Source organism: Homo sapiens, chromosome 13, assembly GCF_000001405.40.
Source record: "Homo sapiens chromosome 13, GRCh38.p14 Primary Assembly".
Taxonomy (NCBI): domain Eukaryota; kingdom Metazoa; phylum Chordata; class Mammalia; order Primates; family Hominidae; genus Homo; species Homo sapiens.
In genome coordinates, this window is record NC_000013.11 from 110,282,371 (window position 1) to 110,305,242 (window position 22,872).

General features: G+C 45.3%; 1 protein-coding gene across 2 annotated transcripts in view, besides 1 other annotated feature; it reads right to left on the minus strand.

Moving 5' to 3' along the window:
- Nucleotides 1-22,872, minus strand: part of COL4A1 (collagen type IV alpha 1 chain) — a 158,195-nt gene that overhangs the window by 133,408 nt on the left and 1,915 nt on the right. The gene's annotated exons all lie outside the window — the stretch shown is intronic.
- Nucleotides 1,051-1,551: an enhancer, noted in NCBI's record as "H3K4me1 hESC enhancer chr13:110935768-110936268 (GRCh37/hg19 assembly coordinates)". NCBI's record gives its function as "activates a minimal SCP1, AML or CMV promoter by ChIP-STARR-seq in primed H9 embryonic stem cells {active_cell/tissue: H9 hESC(primed)}" and the evidence as "EXISTENCE:reporter gene assay evidence [ECO:0000049][PMID:30033119]".

The window sequence follows — 22,872 nt, forward strand, 5'->3', positions numbered from 1 at the left end:
TTATCACTTTCCTACTCATGCTGTGCATTCTAAGCTGTTCATTGTGTCTCCTCAATGCCATCTTCATCCCTACTGTACCTTCCCTGGCATGGCTGCATCCACGCAAGTCACCCTGTCCTCACTTCCAATGCACATCCTTTAGATTAGCAATGGCAAGCTGGTTTCAACTCAAGTGTCAATTCCTACCAGTCAAGGATGGCTGCAGGAGCTCTGAATTGGGGAGAATTTTGAGGCCCTGCCAAGGTCATTGAGATGAAGTGCTCTCACATAACTGTGTGTCCTACCCTGGGACATGGCTTCTCCAAGCACAGGGTCTGTACCCTGAAGTATATGTCCCTGAATGGCATCCCTGCTGTGCCTACTGATTCTCCTGACCTGTTTTGGGGCACCTGTGTTGGCTTCCAGGGATCATGAACTCTTTATTTAAGTATTCACAAGCTTTCTGTCAAAAAAAATCAATTTGGAAATATAATTGTCCATGCTAAGTTCACTGATATGTGATTTCTGGAATTCAATTTTGTTCTTTCGTGGCCATCGGAACATTGCCCTCTCCAATCTTCCTGCATGTCTCCACATTTCAAAATCAAAATGAGCCAGTGATCCCAGTCGCTTCCAGGTGCCCCTGAGGCCCTGGGGCCTCACCTCCAAGCATAAAGGCTTCAGTTAGTTTTAAGCAATTGCATGGTATCTTTCTCTCTCTTTGCCTTGCCTGTGATTCAGTTCTCTCCTTACCATGTTTTATTTAGTGTTCCCAGTTTGAAGGATGTTCAGTTCTTCATAGGAAAGACAGAGACTGAAGAGTAATTACTTGATTCTCTCTGTCATCAAATAATATAATATGTTCAGAAAAGACGAGTCATCGAATCAGAGATTTCAGGAAAAGAGAGGTTCAAGAAAATAAAGAATAATGTAGACTAGAAAATTTTATGTCAGCAGCTAGTTTTTAAATCATACATTTGCTTTTTGACATTGAATAGAAGTGGCTAATAAGCCAAATGTGAAATGTGTTGATGTCACTAATGTAGGGAGATGAGAATGTGAGCCGTGCCCAAGCCATGATGTAAACTCACTAAGAACAGCAAGAATACAAAGGGAAGGGCCAAGGTGTCTGGGCGCCCCATAGGCACACGCACACTCTCACGCACACACACGCACATGTGCACCTGCACACACCTTTCTGTGTATACAGACATCTGCATATGCAGACACATGCATACACTCCCTCACATACAGGCACACATATGAACACAATGCACACTCAGGCACATGCACACAGGCATGTGCATGCTCTCACACTCATGCACACACCCACACATGCACATCAAAGTTTCCCTCAAAGACTGCCTGCCATCTGTGAGCTCATCTGGGGCTCACCATGCCCAGGTCCCACCATACTAAGCCAGGCCTTATGCTGGTGGGGTGAGCTTGGACAGCAGCAGTGGGTGGCATTTGGGGGGTTATTTTTCATGACCCTGAAGACTTTAGTCACTGTGGCTGGGCTGGCAAAGCTGTCACATGTCGACAGGATGGGAGATGAGGTGGCAAAAGCTCTCCCTCCAGCCCAAGGAACAGCGCTGTATGACAGTGGTGGCCACAGGCCAGGAGCCTTCAGCAAAGGGTCTGTCCGGTGATGGCCACAGGCCAGGAGCCTTCAGCAAAGGGTCCTTCAGCAAAGGGTCTGTAGGTCAGGCCACCAACGGGCAGGGATCCCACAGAGCGTGCACCTGGATGCTGTGGTGCAGGTGGAAACACACAGCTCTCAATTTCACACCCAGACAGGATGTGCTCCCCCAGGTAGAATCATCTAAAAAGAGGCTGCTAAATTTCACCCCTCTCCTCCTGGAAGTTTTCTTAGTGTCTCTCTAACTTAAACATCTGTCACAAGCAGAGCTAAGCTGGGAGGAAAGCCCAAATTCTGGAATCTGGGAACCCACAAGCCACAAGCATCTCTCTAACATCTGACTAATGTGACCCCCACAGCTTTTAAATTATAGGTGTTGATTTTGGGGGCTGGAGGCATAATCCCGAAATCAGTAAGCATGATTTGGAAGCTGCAGAGGTCTTTTGGTTTTAACGTCTTGAGAAGTCAACATGATATCCTAATATTAGCCTTCAGTCCCTTAAGAAATAGAAAAATCTAATGCACACGCTTCAAGAATGTAGAAGTAGAAAGCCATCATTTTTCACCGATTTTTGTGCAAAACACATGGAGAAGTAGCACATGATTAATGAATACTAACTTCCTAACACAGATAGAGCAAGCAAAATATATTCCCCATAGCTGTCTTCTTTTTGTAAAAGGCCTTTTTAATGAGCAGAAACATGGCTCCATCCTCATGATATGAAAAAGAGAGGCTCGAATGGGCTTAGTATTCACCTAATCAGAACAGTAAGGCAAATGCTGATGGAGATTACCATCTCCTGAACATCTGAAAAGAAGATGCAACCCTTGACTGTAGCTAATACTTTCTGCCTATTTCATCTCCAAGAGAAATGAACAGTGACAAGTGCCAGACAATGTGCTGTGGCCAGGAAGATAAGCCTAGAGATGACACCGTCCCTGCCCTTGGGAAAGCTGATGGTGTGGTCTAAAGGCTATGTCAGAATAATTCCATTACAAGGCAATGGCCCTTTCTGTAGCGAGGCACATGCCCTCAGCAGCACAGGGGATGGCCGTCAGTCTGGGCTGAGGCTTTCAGGGAAAGAACACTCTGAGCAGTGTTTGGATCTTTTCATGTTTAAAATGTAACCAATAGATCAATTTTCTAACATGAGTTATTTTCAAAATGAAAGACTAGGGCACTAGCCAGAAGTATTTTTATTAAAATGTTGAAGCCAGGAAGCATCGATTTTCCATTGGAAATGCACATTCCAAAAACGTGAATCTACAATGGTGAAGAAATAGGATGGGCTCTTACGTGTGCTGCGGAATCCCACGCATATTTCCTCACCCTGTGGGCCTCACTCACTGGGACTGTCTCCGTGAATCCGTGAATACAGAGTTTTGGCTCTGCCTTTGTACCTTACACATTTAGGAACAGCAGCCCTTAGTAAGCGTCTGTCTTCTGCAGTGGAAATACTACCACTCATAATAAATCAGCACTTGAGCTAAGCTACTGTGATTGTTAGTTTTATGTGTCACCTTGCCTGGGCCATGGGATGCCCAGATATCTGGTGAAACGGTATTTCTGGGTGGGTCTGTGAGGTGTTTCTGCATGAGATGAACATTTGAACTGGTGCACTGAGTAAAGCAGAACCATCCTCCCCAGAGTAGGCTGGTCTCACTCAAGCCATTGAGAGCCTGAACAAAACCAAAAAGCAGAAGGAGGTTGTATTAGCGCTCCCTGACATTTTCCTTCTCCTGCCCCTGGTGCTCCCAGTTCTCAGGACTTCAGGCCATACCATCGCTTTCCCAGTTCCACAGCTTGTAGACAGCACACTGTGGGACCTCTCAGCCCCCATGGTCATGTGTGAGTCAAGACCTTATAATAAATCCTTATATCTCTATAAACTATCTGGATGTATTGGTACCTTTTCTCTGGGAAAACTGACTCAGAGCTACTACTCGATGACCACATCCCCTGTCCAAAGCCTTGGTTAGACCCTCTGGAAATGGGACCCCGTTTAATTTTTGCCCCAGATTCTCATAGTGCAGAGGGCAAAGGTGCAACATCGGCTCCCTGATATGAGTGAGCTATGAGTCTGGAGAGGCCTGGAAGGAGGGAAAGGACTGGATACGGGAATGCCCTAAGGAGAAACTGCCATGGAGGGGCAATACTGACAAGACCAAGAACGACCAAGGACAGCATTGGCTCAAAGGCTGCAGCTGCAGATTCAGGGTACACTGAAGCCAGTGGGACTCAGCCACTTGACACTGGAGGGGAAATGGGGGCTTGGGATCACACCCAGGCCAATAACCATCTGGTTTATTCACATGAGGGTGCTGAACACTCGAAGCTCCTGAGGGTGGCTGCAGGCAGAGTAGGAGGGCTGAGCAGGCTAAAGGGAGAGATGGCCATGCCTGGAGGGGCCCGCTGTCCGGTCAGGCCCAGACAGGAGCCTCAGGGTCCAGAGCCTTGTGTGGCATTCAGATTGTGTGGGGGAGAGAGGCAGAAGTATCATGCCAAGAAATCCATTCCTGGAAGAGGAGGAACAGTTCCCAGGAAAATGGGGCTGAGGCAGTAAGACCACCAGCTGGGATACAGAGGAGCCGCCTATAGGGACAGAGAAATCCTAGGCACCCCGGAGTGCCAGAAAGGCGGTGGGTTACTTCGTGGGGCACTGAGATTGGCTGAAGCTGTATTCCCAGATCCCAAAGGTGAACAAACCATGAGCCCCGGCTCTGCAGCCCTGCTGGCCTCGCAGAGAGGCAGCTTGCATTACATGGATGCCTGGACTCAGGCAAGACCAGCAGAAGATCCCAAATGCTCACTTTTCCCAAGTCCACACGATAAACAGTGTGTGCTTCTGACTGTGTCCCAAGCTACTTGACACCTCCACTAAACCCAAAGAGTTAAACAGAATTCGTTTCTGGGAAGAATTCCACTTTGCATTCTGCTACATTAGTTCAAAGCTCTTCTTCGAAACAAGTTTGGAAACGACACAAAACTCCAGAAAATTCAGGAGTGGCATTTGGAAAACCTGAGGCTGAGGGTGGAGAATGGCCCACAGAGATGCTGTTTGTCTTGTCTTTCTTCACACAGAGGCCACCCACCTAGGAAGAGGCAGGAGAGGCCCCGGGCACCCCAGGTGTAGACATGAGGGCTGCAAGGCCAAGCCACAGGGCACTGGACATGCAGAGACGCACTTTTCCCCACTATGTGTCAGAGGGAAGGAACGCCCTCATTTGCTCTTATTCAGCCATTCAACAATAGTAACAGAATTCCTTTAGGCCGCATGACATCTCAGGGGCAAGCCAGACAGCCTGCCGTCCCCACCCTAAAGCCCGAGGCCAGCCACTCAGATATCTAGTCTAAATGGCTGCACACAGCTGCAAATCTAAATACTCCCCTACTTCGTGCCCACAAAGGATCCAGTCCTATTAATATCTTATCTTTGTGAAGTTCCCGGTTCCTCTCTAAACAAGAAGCACCACCACAGCCAAGACTCGGTTTTTCCATTGGAACATGGAATGAAATGAAGTGAGTTTACATTTGGGGCTCTCATTGTATCGGATGAACTCTTCTCTAAAGGTCAGAAGGCCGGGCATCATGAGCTGTCACTTGAGCAGAATGCTCACCCTGCTGTGAGACCCAGAAAGAAGCCGGCACGTCCTTGAGCGCCGTACAGTGGGATGGCCTTGCCTGGGCGGCTGTCTGGGGCTCAAGGACATGAAGTTGAAAATCACACACACTTCCAATCTATATACAAGGAGGAAGCACATGAGAGCCCAACACTGGTGTTTCCAAGAGAAACGTTTCCTTTCAGGGGCTAATGCAGGCGCTACAATACCTGCAGCACAGGAAGCACAAACTATTTTCAGACTCAGAAGAGAGCCGTTCAAGTGGTGGCAATGCCACCAATAGGGAGTATCTCATCAATTGTCTTTGGTGAGGAAACGCTGACAACAGACCAAGAAATTGGTGAATTCAAGAAGCCTGAGTGGTCTGGGCGCGGTGGCTCACGCCTGTAATCTCAGCACTTTGGGAGGCTGAGGCAGGTGGATCACGAGGTCAGGAGTTTGAAACCAGCCTGACCAACATGGTGAAACCCCAACTCTACTAAAAATACAAAAAAAAAAAAAATTACCCAGGAGTGGTGGCAGACACCTGTAATCCCAGTTACTCGGGAGGCTAAGGCAGGAGAATAACTTGAACACGGGAGGCAGAGGTTGCAGTGAGCCGAGATCGTGCCATTGCACTCCAGCCTGAAACAAGAGCGAAACTCCCTCTCAAAAAAAAAAAAAATAATAATAATAATAATAATAATTAAGCCTGAGCGCAGCCTTGAATCGCTGCTACTATGAGCCTTGAAACTCAGCTTTGATCTTGCTGGTAAAATAGCAAAATGTGAAAAGAGAGACTCCTATTGCCACTATAGAAAAATCCATGGCTCAGGAGATCAGCATAATTTTGTCTCTTGCAACCAAAATGTCTATTTTAAGGATTATCTAACCACAGGGTAGAGCAACTGACAGAATTGTTCCCACTTCACTATATCTATTTTTATTTAGTATATGTATTTTCTTTGCACAGACAAAAATCAAAAATCACAAAAATGTATGTCATTTGAAATGAAATAATGAACACTGATTAACCCTGACAATTTGAGCATAACAGACTGATTTTCCATTCTTATCCCTCCCATGTCCTTGTGTAAAACCCTGGACAGGTTGTTGAAATGCCTCAAGCCTCGGGAGCTACCTGTAAATGATGGGTGTCAGGCCAGGCGCGGTGGCTCACGCCTGTAATCCCAGCACTTTGGGAGGCTGAGGTGGGCAGATCACGAGGTCAGGAGTTCCAGACCAGCCTGGCCAACATGGTGAAACCCTATCTCTACTAAAAATACAAAAATTAGCTGGGTGTGGTGGCGCACGCCTGTAATCCCAGCTACTCAGGAGGTGGAGGCAGGAGAATTGCTTGAACTGGGACCCAGGAGGCGGAGGTTGCAGTGAGCCAAGATCGTGCCACTGCACTCCAGCCTGGGCTACAGAACAAGACCCCATCTCAAAAAAAAAAGATGCGTGTCACAGGCCTAGCCCTTCAGTGGAGAGGAGAGGACAGAGTGGACTAAGGTCAGTGAGTATCTGGGGAGAGCAATGGCTTCCATTCCAGATCTCCTCATTTTGGCGAGTGCTGGATTCCTAAGTTCTCCTGGATGGAAGAGGGGATTTTGATCTCAAAGAACAGGGTCTGAATGGCCCCGCACCTAAGCCTGGAGGTAGAGGGCTGGAGTGATGAGTTCCAGCTCTAGCACGATCCAGGCCGGGGTGCCATCCACTGCCGCGACCAAGAGGAGACCCTTCCCAAGGCAAAAGAACAGCTTCCCTCTTCTCCAGCATCTCTGGCTCCTCATCACCTTGCAATCAACTCGTTCCTGTGAGGGGACAAGGCCCTGCGCACCCACCCTGACCCCCTGCCCATCCCCCACTGCTCCAGGCAGCCCTGTTACTATTCCTGTCTACCTTCTCAGGAAGCTCTTTGCAGGCCTTGAGTTCACCGATTTCTTGGTCAGTTGTCAGTGTTTCCTCACCCAAGACAACGGATGAGATACTCCAAGTCGGTGCCCTTGCAGGTTCGTCCTTCACAGAATATGTAAAGAGTTCAACATGTTAGACGTTACACTGCAAATTACGCTATCTGTATTTTGGGTTAAAGTCCAAAAGCGCATAGAGAATACCCACAGCCACCTTCAGGGCTAAATACCAACATCTCAGGTTCCTGATGCATGGAAAACTCAAGAAGAAATGGAACATGAGATGCTCCGGATCCCAGGCTGCTCCTCAAGGTGGCTGGCACGGACCACCGCTTCTTCCTCTGTCTTCCAACAGAAACATGTTCTGCCCCCAGTGGACAGATCCCAGAGACGGAATGAGGGTCAGCGCTTCACCCACATCCTCATGGAGGACAAGCAGGTGGGTTTTAAGGCCCCTGGGAAGTAAAAATAGAGGGTCTGCTTCTGAAAAGGGGCGTGAAGGGAAGGGTTGGCTGAAAGGATGCTGCCGGGGGGCACAGCACCCTCGCAGGGGCGTCACTCCTTCCAAAGGTGACTCGGTGCTATTCTAAACAGAAGAGTCCTGTTTCATGTTCGGTAATTTTGACATGCTGCTGTGTAGGTTTTGTCATCTTTTCCTCTTAATTAAAGCCTAGTTGAAGGCCTTTTAAAGTTCATTTTCCTGGTTAGACAACAAGTGCGAACACACTAAGCTACACAGACACACGTGAGCGCGTTGCAAGCTAACAAGCGCTCGGCAGGCGGCTTCTGGGATTTTGATTTCCAGACTCCCCAGAGGGAACACAATCTGTGCAGCATTCGTTTTATCATTAACATGTCCTTGCACTGTTTAAATTTTATGTCCAAGTCATAATTTCTTTTATGATTTACCCTCTTAATCAGTACATCTAATGACCACCATGCTTACACTACACTCAAGATTCCCTTAAAAGGTTACAAACCCATAGCATTCCTTCCACAGGCTCCTCCGGCTTCCTCGATCCTTCCTTCCCTTTGGACTCTAGCTTCACTCGCAAACTACTCATCAACCACCCCAGGTGACCAAAATCTCTGGGCACTCACCCTGGAGTCACCTCCAGCTCATCATCCCTGTCCACACCTCCACCAGACCCACTCTCCACCCCACTTTTATTTTAGTTTTTATTTTGTTTTACATTTTAAAGCTTAGCAAGTGAAGCTTGGGTGCACGAGAGCAAGTGGGGACTGGAAAAGGAACAAAGAAATCTATAACTGGTTGTGATCAATGATCTGTCAATATCACTGCATTTGGACCAGCCCACTTTTTAAAACGTGGGTGTCACTTTTGGGTCTATCCTGCCGGTGACGCTGGGCACTCTGCTACTCTCTTTGCCTTCAGTGGCCAGTGAAACTCGGCAGGGGGGTCGCCGTGCAGTGGCAGAAGCCAAGGGCGATTGCACGTCCCCCAGGGGTGGGCCTCTTTGCACTTGGACCAGCACAGAGGTGCTCACAGGGCGGGTGGGGGGCTGTCCTGACCTGAATCACGTGCACAGACGTGAGTGTCCTGCCCGCCCCTCTCCTCAGGACACTTGCAGCTCCCACCTCACCTGTCCGAGAACACTGGGGCTTCCCCTCCTGACCTTAAGGTGTGTCGAGGACCTGGTGTCTAGAAAAAGTACACCGATGCCAAGTAGCCTGGCATCACATTAGCCACCCACTTGTCTCTTTGATCATCTTCACGTTTTGCACTAAATTCATCTAAACTCTTGATCTTGTCTTTTCATTTCTTCAGCATTTCTCAGCAACCAAGAATCTGCCATATTTTTCTGCAACTAGGAGGCAATGGCGAGGGAGCTTTAACCATGCCATCTCCTCACAGCTGGCTGTCCACAGAACTCATCTTCCATGTCGGGATGTGCTAGGGGTGCACGGGAGCGCCATTAGTAATTTCACCCAGGTCACAGCATGGACCTCGCTGGCCTGGGCAAATCAGACCACAAGTCAGCCCTCTCCCATCGCCTTCTCAGCCCTGCGAGGCTGGCCACGTGGCAGGGACTAGACTTGTCAGTTTCCTTATCACCCACCCCATGTCAAGTGCTGAAAATGCAATGGCCTTCACTAATTGTGCAGAGCCCTGACTGCCCCCAAGTACATCGCACCTTTTCATAAAAGTGTTCACAGAAACACCTCTCCTGTGACCAGACCCGGCTTCTTTAGTGGGTTATTTACTTCTTGTCTCCCTCTTCAAGAGCTCTGAGCTGGGTTCCTAGAGGGATCATAATCGCCAGTTCCACCATCTGCAGATGAACCAATCTAGATTCACCTTCAAATTTCCATTTTCTAGCATGACCTTGACAACCAATTAGTCAATCAAGAGACACACTTACTGAGCATAGATTCTACATGGCGATGCTCAGATACTGTGCCATCCCTGGAGGGGCATGGAGAAAGAAACCAAAATGCAGCTGAGAAGATGGGGTCTGCACACATGTCTTTCGAGAGATTCATGCCAAACATTTGATACAAACAATAAGATTAACATTCGCCAAAACTGTCTTTCCGACCGATTTTCCCACCACCCTCAGAAGTGCCTGCATCCTGCCTGCCGCTGAGAGCCAAAGCTTTGGAAGCATTGTCAAATTTAGCTCTATTCTTATCTACTGCCAAATTCAGGGTCTTCTTCCCTGGAAAATCTTTTTGACAGTTCTTACTATAAAAATCTGCTACCAAGGCCCTCTAGACCAGCAGTCTGTGGCATACATCTCTGAGAATGTGATAAAAGTTCCAGGCATTGTCTTCTTAAAAATGCACTTGTGCACAGATTCATAAAAATTTGCATATCATCTCAAGGGGTTCACGGGCCCCCCAAAAGAGGCCATGCTGTGGTCTAGACTGGACTATAGTTTCTTGACTCTCAACTTTTCATATATTTCCAATCTGGAGGTGGTTATTTTTGTTAGTCCATTCTCACACTGCTATAACTGCTATAAAGATACTCCTTGAGACTGGGTAATTTATAAAGTAAGGAGATTTAATTAACTGACAGTTCTACATAGCTGGAAGACCTCAGGAAACTTACAATCATGGTGGAAGGCAAAGGGGAGGCAAGGCATGTCTTACATGGTAGCAGGAGAGAGAGCGAAGGAGAAAGCACAATTTTTAAAACCATCAAATCTCATGAGAACTCACTCACTATCATGAGAACAGCATGGGGGAAACTGCCCCCATAATCTAATCATCTCCCACCAGGTCCCTCCCTCAACATGTAGGGAGGGACAGGAACTCAAAGGATGATGACTGGCAGGTAGGCAGATGGGATCAATGGGTCATCAAGTCAATTATCTCTATGTAAAGGGTCAGGAGAAACAGGATATGTCCAGGGTTCTCACTAGCATACAAAGGCAACTGCCAGGTAATCTGTGTCACTTAACAGCCAAAGATATCACGCCTCAAATTCATAAGTAGATTCTAGAATTGTGGGAAAATAAATTGGCTGTTATTTTTAAAAAATCTCAATTCCCACCTACACAACTTACCCAGAGCACCCCCTAAAAGTGCAGTCACTCTCTTTCAACTAGTGATAAATGCTGGATTCCATTCAAGGTCACCGTGCAGGAACACTTAGTCTACTCCCCAGTGCCACCGTTGGGGGCTGGAGGTTTAGCCCTCCCATGCAAATTAGCAAAGTCCCAAAGCTTAGGCAAACATGACCAAAGGTGTGTAGGACTGTGGCACCTAGAGAAGTGTTTCTGGACGTCTGCAGGCTGCCAAAGCTGGGGGCTCGCACCTGTGGCATTGCTCTGACCCAGGGAAGAGTCAGTAAAATGTTGTAGAGGTAGCGGCTGCTGCGTCTACCTAGAAGGCTATGAATGATAAGAAACTCAACCTAATTACTTCGCTTTGCCAACTATAGCTTTCAAGTTAATGCTACAGTTTCTCAAATGGCACAAGTGCACATCATATAGAACTAGAAAAAGTTGTATTAAAAATTTGACATTATCTTCTAGAAGTTACTGCCAATCATCTGACTTGAGATGGCAATTGACTCTGCTCAGAGATGGCAGATAGGCTCAGATACAGCAACCCAAACTCAGGCCTGCACTTTCGAACATGCTGTTTGAACATACTGGAAACACCAGCTGATCTTCCTCACTCTGACACTTTAAGAAGACAATTGCCAATTAAGGAATCAAATTAAGGACCATTTCTAGAATTATTTTCCACCAAAAAGGCTCTGTAACCTAGCACACTTCATCAGAGCTTTTCACATTATACCCTTTCCCTTATTAACAGCGTGTCACTGTTGCAGGATAATGTGGGACATGCACTGCCAATTGTCCAGGACAATTCGCCAACATATTTTGCCAAGAACTTTGACCTGCGTTTCCTTGTTTAAGCCTCTGAGTGTTCTCACAGCAATAGTTTTCATGTTTCTGATTCATTTATCCCTAACTCACAAATTAGGTTTCTTTTGCCCAGGAAACCTGGTAAGCCTTGGTCCTTGGAACCAGATTTTAATTTTGACTCTCAGAAAAGGCTCAAGTGCTCATTGTGACCAGAACTCCTCCAGGTTTGAGTAGGCGCTGAGCTGGAGGAGACGAGCCCCCAATTTCTTGGTGCTGCCATACATTGTGACAGTCTGTCCCTGAGGGTTGCCATTGTGCAGAGATGGTAGCACGACCACTCGGGTCCTGTGGAACTAGAGGTCTGAGGTGTGTCCCTGATGATTACAAGAGCATCTCTTTTCTCTGCCTGCCTCCAGCCCCTTCACACAGGGTCCGGCTGACATGGCCAAAGAGCAACACAATTTTAAGACAAAGGACAATATTCTTGCATCATTACAGTTGTGACACACAACATCCTCATCAAAGTGCCAAGAAATCTTGCACACTGGAGAAACACATTTGCTGTCCACAGCCTCCCTCCCATTCCTCCATCTGGTATTTCCACATCTGATGGTTTCATCCACTCTAAACCCAAGTGGTATTTCCCATGGCTAGCTGTACTTAATTCCCAGGGAAGAGAGAAGAGCTCTGCAAACCCATTTCCTACTGGAGAGATATTTCAAAATTTCCAAAAATTGGAACAACTCAATGTCTGTTAGTCTCATGAATGTACTTCTGAGACACAAAGTAGACACAATTTCCTATAAAGGACTCCAGTCTCTTCCTTACAACTATTTTAACAAAGTTGAATTTGGGAGGTTGAACCATCCCTAAAATAGCAGAGAGGGATATCCTTTTAAATAATTTCTAGTTCAGCATGATAAAAGGCAGAAATTGTTTGCTTCTCTGTATTCATCCCATAAATAAATGCTGAGGGCAGCAATTCTTTTCTGTTTGTCTCCAAGTCTAGAATAGTGCCTGGCACATAGTGGGTGTACAATAAATATTTCTTACATGAATGAATGAATATCATTCATTTTATAGGAAATGCACACATGGTCTACTTATGTAGTGTATATGTGTACATATGTTTATATGTATTTAAAATCTAATTTTGTGAAGTTAGATTACAGTTCTGTTCATTGAGCACACTTAATATACAAAAGCCATAATGTCCTAGAAATAATCATTTTAATGTAAAAATGTACAAATCAGACTCATTTCCTTAAGACATGTACAGAGCTCAGAAGACTTTATGAAGTTGTATGTGAAGATCCCACTTTTAGACTCTTTAATGGATAAACATCCTCAATCTGCCAGCATGTTCAGATTTTTCTCTTAGGCTCTCACACTACATGGTTTTCTTTCTTTCTTTTTTTTTTTTTTTTTTGAGACGGAGTTTGTACAGAGACACAATAAAGGAATGGGCTGATTTTAAGTCCAAATCTTAAATAACTCCTTTTTGAATTCAATTAAAGCTTTTGAATGTCCCATTAAACAACAGCCAACGACAAAATATTCTTGTAGTTCACTTCCTTTTTTTTTTTTTTTTTTTTTTGACAAAGTGTTGCTCTTGTTGCCCAGGCTGAAGTGCAATGGCACTATCTCAGCTCATTGCAACCTCCACCTCCCCCATTCAAGCGATTCTCCTGCCTCAGCCTCCCAAGTAGCTGGGATTACAGGCGCCCGCCACCACGCCTAGCCAATTTTTGTATTTTTAGTAGAGACAAGGTTTCACCACATTGGTCAGGCTGGTCTCGAACTCCTGACCTCAGGTGATCCACCCGCCTCGTCCTCTTAAAGTGCTGGGATTACAGGCATGAGCCACCGCACCCAGCCTCACGGTAAATGGCTTTCTGACCTCAACCTATGCTGAATTCTAAAATATTTACATGCAAATATTTACATGGCTGGAAGCCCCACCTCTGGAGCCCCAGAGACATTTTCTACCATGGAAAATGTCAGGCTGAGGCAGCCAGAGATGCAACCCCTCCAAAGTCAGCTCCAGCTCTCCGGGGAGACAGGTGCGCTTTCTAGCGGGGAGTGAGCTGCTGTGGGCAGCTGTCTCCACTGTGCTCAAGCCAAAACTCAGATGTGCAGTGCTGGCTAACTTCAGCCCTGCGCCTCTCCCACTTGATTAAGAGACCAGAGAAAGTTCTCAAAAGTGATTCCCATTTTGCACTCTGCCCTATTAAACTAGGACCTTCCCATAAATCGCTTACAGGAAGAAATCTATGACAGTCTCCTCTCTGAGTGGCTATGATGGATCTCATGAGAAGTGAAGCTACGGAGATTCTGCCACCACCTACGCGAAACCACGGCAACGTGCCTTGTTTCAATTTGCTTTTGTTCATCTCATAATTGTTATACCTCAAAGCCAAGGGCTCCATCTTGGAATACATTAGGGATAGAATTGTGCCCTCAAGAATTATGCACTCAAGATGTATTCGATTGTTTGAATATCATTATAATCCCAATATTTTGTAAATTATCCAAGAAGCTGATCTCTTATAAGAAATAAAGTCGTAGTAAAAGAAAGATACTTCATAGTTTTAAGTACATACGAATATCGATAGTATAATCACGAAATCAATAGTAAAAGCTAACATTTTATGAATGCTCATCTGAAGATACAAAGAGGCACAACAGTTTTTCCTCTGCTCTCACAACAAGCTTCTGACACCGGCTGTGTGGGAGGTTTCCCCACATACCAAGCAAGCAATCATTTCTTCAGGGGAGACCAGCTAGGCTTCCTTTAATTCCACTCAATTCTGATTCCATCTATCTGAAGACAGCATCAGCTCCCACAGATGAAGGCTCAGTCCCACAAGATTGCCCCACTTCAGACCCCATTGCCAGGAATAAATTGTCACCTATTCTTCTGTCCATTGGTTATAAATTGGAATTTCCATGAACCCCTCCTGGGGTTTGATTAACCTGCTAGGAAGGCTCACAGAACTCAGGGAAACCCTTATGTTTACTGATTTATTATAAAGGCTACTGTATTACAAAGGATACAGATGAATACCCAGAACATGGAAGAGAGGCACAGAGCAAGGTGTAGGGGAAGGGGCAGGGCTTCCAGCCCTACCAGGGCATGCCACCTTCTAGGAACAGCTCCACATCTTCAGCCATCCTGAAGCTCCTCAAGCCCGTCTTTTTGGGATTTCATGGAAGCCTCCTTATATAAGGGCATGATTGATTAAATCATTGGCTATTGGTAATTAACTCAACCTCCTACACGGCCCCTCTCCCCAGAGGTTGTGAGTGGGGCTGAATCCATCCTTTAGCCTGCCTTGGTCTTTCCCAGGGACCAGCCTAACTCTGAAGCTGCGGGGTGGGGGGGCCAGCCACCAGTCAACTCATTAACATACAAAGACACTTATCACTTCGGATTCCAAGAATTTCAGGAATTGTATGCCAGGAAACAAGAGGAAGACCAAAGATCTACTTCACAGCATGAAATCTTATGATATGGCAGTCACTCATTTACCAGTATCGTGTCTGCGACCTTCACAACACAATAAAGGAATACGTTATTATCCCTCATGGATAGATGGGGAAACTGAGGCACAAAGAAGTTAAGAAGGTTGCCCAAAGTCAAACAGCTAGTTGCTGTTTGGGCAAATAAATTTATTTTTATTAATTTTATTATTAAAATCCATCACTAAAACTGTCATCAGGAATTCAAATCCATCTCATCTGACTCCAGAGTCTGAAACTGATGCCTTTTGCAGTCTCAGAACTTAAATGAAAAGATTTGGAGCCAGAAGAGAACAGTGCAAGTGCTAAATTTTCAACGTAACATCTATCATACCATTACCAAAATTATTCTCACTTTAACTCAGGCACATGTCCGAATGCAAAGTATAAGAACAATTCCAACCACCTGCATATTTCCTAATTCAGAGTAAGCGCTGAACACACACTTACTGAACAAATTTTAAAGGCCAAAAGCAAGATACTGAGCTATCAAACTATTACTTCCTACTTTGTTTTCATGTGAATTCTTACTCTTGTTTTACTTTCGCTGATGTAAAAAAAAAAAAGAGAGAGAGAAATGGGCCTTTGGTTACAAATTGGCTTCTCGCCTAGGACAATACCCAAAGTTATTTATGTTTTAAATAAATGATCTAGTCAAGAGAAAAAAAAATCCATATATCATAATATATTAATTGATGATAACCTCCATGGAAAAAAGAGAAAATATCTATGATCAACATGAAATAATAAAGAAGTATGAATTATAGAATTTTTTAAAAAAAGTTTTAAAAGCCTAAATTCCTGAAGAAATACAATCTTATTATTTTCAAGTATTTGGGAAAACAAAATCTAATTATTATGGAGGCGCCCAATGGCTATTTAGTCAGACTAGACAGGCTTTAACAATTGATAAAAAGCATCTGGCGCTAGCATAATGTTTACATGAAAAACATGTTTGTTAAAGATAAGCTAGGAATGAGAAATCTTTCAAGAAGATCGCCCACTACATATCCTACGTAATAAAAACCGTGTCATCCCCTTTTCCAGTTAATATTATTGATTCTGGACCGGGTTTGTGTATGTGTCCGAAATAAATCGGATGCTGAGGCTGAACTAACCATTCCGTGGATGGTATTTTCCCCCATCACTGACCCATTTTCCTGCTTTGGTAAGTTTATCTTCATTGTATAGGCCATTTCCGGACCAAAATTTAGGAGTTATTTTAAACCACTAACCTTCAACCGTCTTTTATCTCTAGAAACCGGATTTGGCGGTCGTTAAGAATTCCTCACCAGGAAGCCGAGTGGCCGGGCCTGGAGGAGGTGGGAGGGAGGCAGAGGACCCATGTTCAGAGTCCTGCGTCCCAGCGCCCGCTGACTGGCTCTGCCCTGGGTCGGCCTCTGAGCTAGGGCGCTGAGCGCATCCTGCCCAAGTGTGCAAGCTCGCAGGCTCGCCGCAGAGGATGGCAAAACTCAGACTGAAAGCAGATCAGTTCTGAGACACCCACGCCAGGCTCCCGAAGAGGGGAGAAAGCCACGGAGGGCAGAGTCTGCTCCAGGCACCGCTGTGCTCATTTACCATCAGCCCAGCCCTCTCCAGATCCACTCAGGAGCCTCCACTTCCTGACACGCCACATGCATGTTTCTGGAACCTTCCTCCCCCGCCCATCTGACCTTCCAAACTGCACCACACAGCTGGAACCGGGATTGCGGGCAGGAGCAGAAATCAACGGAAAAAGAAGACAAAGAGAACGGGGAGGGCCATGTTACACGCAGGGGTTCAGCCTCAAAGTGAGTGCAAACTAACGTCCCGACACTGCAGGCCTGCACCTAAGGCTGCTCAAGCGGCGGCCTCAGTGAAAGAAGTCGGGCTGTCAGTAGCCGCACCCTCACCTGCTAGAAATGCAGATTCTCGGCATACCCCACACCTCCAAAAACAGAAGCTCTGGAGCTGTTTCGTGGAGCCCTCCAGCTGATGCTGCTGTGAGCTCATGTTGGACAACGGCTGAAGGAGATCCTTGTGTGGGCCCTTCCAGCCCCAAGGGGTCTTGATGTCATTACTTTGCTGTTTATGCTTCTGAATTTGTCTTTAATTTAACAGAGTAGTGCCTGGCACAAAGCAAGCTCGGTATAAATGCTTCACAGACATTAACTCACTTAATCCTTACATTTGCTCCCTAAGGAAAGCAACTGCCCTCATCCCCATCATACACATGAGGAAGACCAGGGCCCACACATTTCCCTGCAGGGCCTGTGACTGGTGCACAACCAGTGTGTCCCTGGACTGTCTCCTCTCTGGATGTAGTTGAGACGTTGCCATCGCCTTTCCAAAAAGTCGTGTGCACGTCTGACCCGTTAATGCCAGCTTCTTTGAGAAACAGACTTTTCTTTTGCCAGACTAATCGTAGGGTCCTTAGTCTGGTGGTAGCAAATACGTCACACACAACTCAGTATTAATTCTGTAACATTAAAATGGCATTGCATTCTTTAAAAAACTCTAAAATGCAACTCAAAAATTCAAGCTAATGATAAAAAAGAGTTGCTTATATTTTAAAATGACATTTCAAAGCTGGTGCTCTTGGATGATATGAAAATAAATGCCACTGTGCTCAGAAATCAGGCATTACTTGCACACAAGGGAACTGCGGATCTGAAAATAAATTTTGATTGTTTTATATTACATAGTAATATACATATAAATAAAGCATTATTAGAGATGTAATAGCCAAATCTTCCACCAATTAGATTAGATATTAATATTGTTTATTTAATAAATATGAAGGAAACAATACCAAAATGGTTATCATTGAGTTTATCTGTACAACGCTGAAACAGAGAACAAATACTGACCTAGTACCTTCAAAAATGCCCCATGTGCTGAATGTGAGGATTAGGCAAGGTTTATCTTTGTGCAATGAAGACACATAGTATTCTCCTCTGAACGTGCATCATCTGTCATTTTCTTCTGAATGTGGATCATCTCTAGGGATGAGTGTGGCTGCTGGGAAAAGTTTGTGGAAATAGCTTTCAAAACATTGAATTACAGCTGGAACACACTGGGTTTTGTTCTTCACAAAGGAATATCCTTGTTTTCTAAAGCAGAAACTTAATAAAATCTTTAAACAATTTTAATTGTGTCCAATACAGGAATAGTGTGCCTCCAGATCTTCTGCTGAATTGAGCAATGTTTATTTAAGTTAGCTGCACTCTCTATGAGTGAATACACAAATGGCTTCCCCAATTGTTGGTGTATTTGGTGAAATGAAAATAGAGCAACTGACATCAAACTGGATGCTTCCAGCTCACGGCCAGTATCTCTGGCTGTGGTCCTTGCTGGAATCAGTGGCCACAGTACACTAAGATGTGTATGTGTATGTATTACTAAACAATGGTAATTTTACAACTGAACAATGTACTGATTCTAAAAGCAACAGAAGATGAGGAGGTTGAATAGCTCTCCTTTATCAGGTAAGAGGTACAACAACAGAAACACAAAAGCCCAAGTGGCCTGGAAAAGATTGCTTTAATATCTGATTTGGACACTTGGCATTTGTCTTGTACCTTAAAGATCAAGTGAGCTTTAAAACTCAGATAAAATGAAATGTTTTTATAGTATGCAGATTAAAAACCAAATCCAGCAAAGCTTCCACAGAGAAAATTACTAAACCACGGAATAAACTATTTACATAAAGTGTTCAGCAGTGTACATATTTCCAAGTCATGTTTAGTCTGTGGTGGAATATCTACTCCAAATTCCAAATTAAGGGGAAACACCTTCGTTTGCCCAGATTCATCTTTGTGTTCACTAGTAATACCACAGGGGTGGACAGTGTAAGCCAGCAGGCAGCTCCCTCTAGGACACTCCGGGGGTGGGGAGGGGGCTCCCAAGAGAATGGCAGCTAGAAAATTGGAACCAATTACAAGTAATTAATTCCTGATTTCCTCCTCTGTGTCGGGCACTCTCCCAAACATGGTGGGATGCTTTAAAAAGAAGTTATGTCCTGGCAAGTGTTGGAACCAAGACACAAATGACAATGTAACTCCAAGCCATGTGGCAGCAACCACAACCAGCACCGCTCGAGTGCTTACTTCATGTGCACATGCTCTCCCTAGACATGGCGACTACCCTCACTGTATGTATTAGAGACTCCAAGCTCAAAGAGATTACAATGCTACTGAATGGCAGAGCAAGAATTGCAATTTAGGCTGGATTTTTTAAAATCCAGATAGTCAACAATATTTCACATTACCACTCTGACTCGAGAGGGGATCACGTGGAAAAGGGGCAGGCTGCGAACTGTTTCAGGAGCTTCAGTGGAATGCGTGCTAGCCGAGGGAAGACGAGAGGACACTGCAGGCCGGGGAGCAGGAGAAGATGAAACAGCTTCTGTGGAATGCAGAGATTATCCTTCCTTACAGTTACCAAAGCCGTATGTCGAGGAGTAGCAAGGAACGAGGCCAGAAAAATTTGACAGATCCGTACCACAAAGGGAATGCACAGCCAAGCCAAAAAGAGGGGGAACCCCAGTGAGATAGTAGGTGGCCATGGCAGATCCTGAACCAGCAAGTCTATGACCATAACTTAGGGAATTGAGGGCAATTAGCCTCTCACAGCCTGAGGAATGGGCTGGAGAGCACGAGAGCTGGGAGGAGGGGCAGGGCCATGAGGGTTCAGTGGTGATCCTGGCACAAGGCAAAGAGAGCTGGAAGGGAGTCCCAGCCGTGGGAAGGGAAAGCTGCGGGCACCTCTGGGAAGCATCCAGAAAGAAGTAGGAGACTTTGTGACTGAGCAGATGCAGAGGATAAAGAAGAGGAAAGGCTAAAGCCTCATAGTCTCTGGGCTCTGTACCCAGAAACATCAGAGGGCACCAGGACCAAAATGGCAGAGTCGGGAAGGGTTGTCAGTCCAGGTAAAAAATGAGTTCAGTCCTGAACATATTTGCTCAGTTTGAGATCAAAGCAAGACAGCCAAGGGGAGGCGTCGCGTGGAAATGTGAAGACGTTGAACTGGAGTTCAAGAAGGAGTTCTGGAGTCCCCTTCAGGGAGTAATGGTGCATCATGGAGCAGACCCCCAGTGGAAGTTAGAGAGTGCAAAGAACAAAGAGAACCACGCAGAGCTGCCCCTGCAGCTCACCCACACTGAGGGGCATGGGAAGAGGAAGAAGACAGAAGCAGAGACACGGAAAGAGCGCTAGGAGGGACCCATGTCCCAGAGTTAGGACCAGGAGAACAATGGAGGGAAACGAGGCTGGAACCAGCTCACTGTGTACCAGACTATCAAAGTCTTCACCCCAAAGTCATTCCTACAGTGTCAAAAGACTCAGAAGAAATTCACCATTAAAACATGCTCTGGTTGACATCCCTTTTCATTGTATGCATAAGAATGGTAGGAATATGTCTTTTGTATTGTTCTATAGTTGACATTTTTTCATGGTTGCTTAATAATAGCAGGAAGAACAATGCTCTAACATTATTTTAGGCATTCTATTGTTGCTTGAGCTGACTCTAGCCCAAGAACTCAAAATACCAAACCTCCTTGTGAGACATTTTAATGAGGTTAATCCTTCTTCAATTTGGGGAACAATTATTATAACAAATATCATAGAATTCATCAAAACCACTGTTGTCATTTAGCCACTTCTTGATGTTCTTCCACTGTCTACAAAGGTTTGTCTTAGATCATCACTGGTGGGTTCCATTTGTCTGCAAAATCTTTACCAGCTCTTAACTAAATAACTGAACTTGTTATGACCATCCTTGCCAGTTCTCAGAAATTTGCCAACAGCCTTGTTAATGAATAATGTAGGGTTTTGTGAATTCCCTCATGGCCTGGCCCAAGTAAGGGTAGGTTTTCTGGGTCAGTTCCTAAAGGCACTCCTGACTAGAATCAGTCATCCATGCCGCAACTTTCCAAACATCCCCTGCCTGCCTACCTGCCACCTCCGAGAAAAGGGACAGGACCACATACTGGGGCCTCAGTTGGAGCTGGGAGCTCTTTTTTAACACTGGTCTCCTAAACCCTGCCCTTCCAATTCTTTCCACCCCTCTGAGAGCAAAGTTCAGCCACCAAGATTGTTAATCACAGAAACAATGACATTTTGGTATCTCAAAGGAGCAAACTTGAAGGTCATCTTTCAGTGCAAAGACCCTTAGACTTGAGAGCAGACAGGCAGAATGACCATGTCTTCTGTGTATAGTACACCATCACAGTGCACATGGAAATGACATGCTGGTGTATAGTTCCTATTTCTCCCTCATATTTCAGAGGCGGAAGCCCCTCCCAGAAGTTTCCTCTGAGTTCCCCAAAGCTGGATTCAGTGTTCCTATAGCCCTTCGATTCCCCTGATTGTGACATTTACCAGCCTGACTTGGATTCGTCTGTTTCTTTTCCAATATTTCTCACCTGACCTTCCTGAGGACAGAGAGTGGGGGTGAGTCCCTGCCGCATGGCCAGCACCTGGCAAGGTCATGGCAGGAAGGAGGTGTTCCCGATGTGTGTGTGGAATGAAGGAAGGCACAAACGGGTCCGTGTGAGGAAGGGACAGACCTGCCAGGGAAACTGAGGTATAGAGTTTGATGAGTACCCCCAAATCATCTGCTTAAAAGCAGGTATAAAATGTAAGGTCCTCTGGTGCCTAAAGCACACTCATCCTGTGTACACGTGACTATTAATAATATATAGCATTGATAATTCTGTGAATCTAGTCAGAGTACATGAACATTGTGTCTTCTGGTTGGTCTTAAAGTTATGTCCCTTCACCCTAGTCCAATTCCATCTATTAATATAAAGAGCTTGCAGATATAAGGAATAGCTTCACCAATATCACTCCTGAGATCCTGGGCGATGCTGCTCTTGTTGGGACTGATTCAGAAACCAGCCTTCTCTTCTAAACTACATTTCCAGTAGAACATGGTCCATACTTATATGGGAATGAAATCTCACTTAGTTTGAACTCTAGGTCATTCAGTCCCAGAGGTGGTGACTAATGGTCAGGAGATGACAGTATTGCTGGACAAGCATCACCACACTGAGGGGAAAGTTCACGTTTCTAATCCTGAGAAATAATCTGTTAAGAAGCATCACACAGAACCAGCTAGAGGGGAGTGTGAAAGCTGCTGCAGGAAGGGTTCATTCCGCCCAGTGCAACTGAGTGACTAAGAGTAGAGGGTGCTCACAATCAGAACACTGCTGGCACGTGTTTGTCTGGAGCCTGCAAGCTATTCCTCCTTTCTTGCTGAAGAAAAGTGGAGGAAGGGAGGAGCGGGGAGTAGAGTGGTAGGTTCAGCGTGGGATAAAATCAATGGTTTAGAAAATCCACCCATGAGTACGTAAACAATATGACCATAGCAGATACAGCAAATACAAAATTAAACAGCCTTTCATGAAGAAAAAACAATAAGGGCAATTCATGCCTGGCACACAGCAGGTGATGTCTGGATGTACAAATGCAGGTGAAGTGTGATTCAGACAGTGCAAAGGAGAGGTAAGCCAACAGTCACTTCCACTGGCTTCTGAATGAGGATCTGATCAAATCCACAGCATCTTATCATTCAAAATGTGCTTTTAAATTATGTTTTGCTTGGATCAGTATTGAAGCTATTTCAGTGTTATGGTACATCTAACAGCTGATTTTGGAAGGAGGTAAGCCAAAATGTTATTGATGGCATGAAAAGTGAGACAAATTTTAAAATTAGGCAGATTCAGTTTTTAAGTGATTTTCTTGTATACCCATACATCATCTGCACATTAAGCACTTTTCTCTAATTAAGCCAGGGAAAATACAGAGTAATGATAATATCTGTGAGGTCAGCTGTGATCAGAAGTGCCCACAGGCTGCATCTCTTAAAAACAGTCCATGGCACCTCAAGGGAC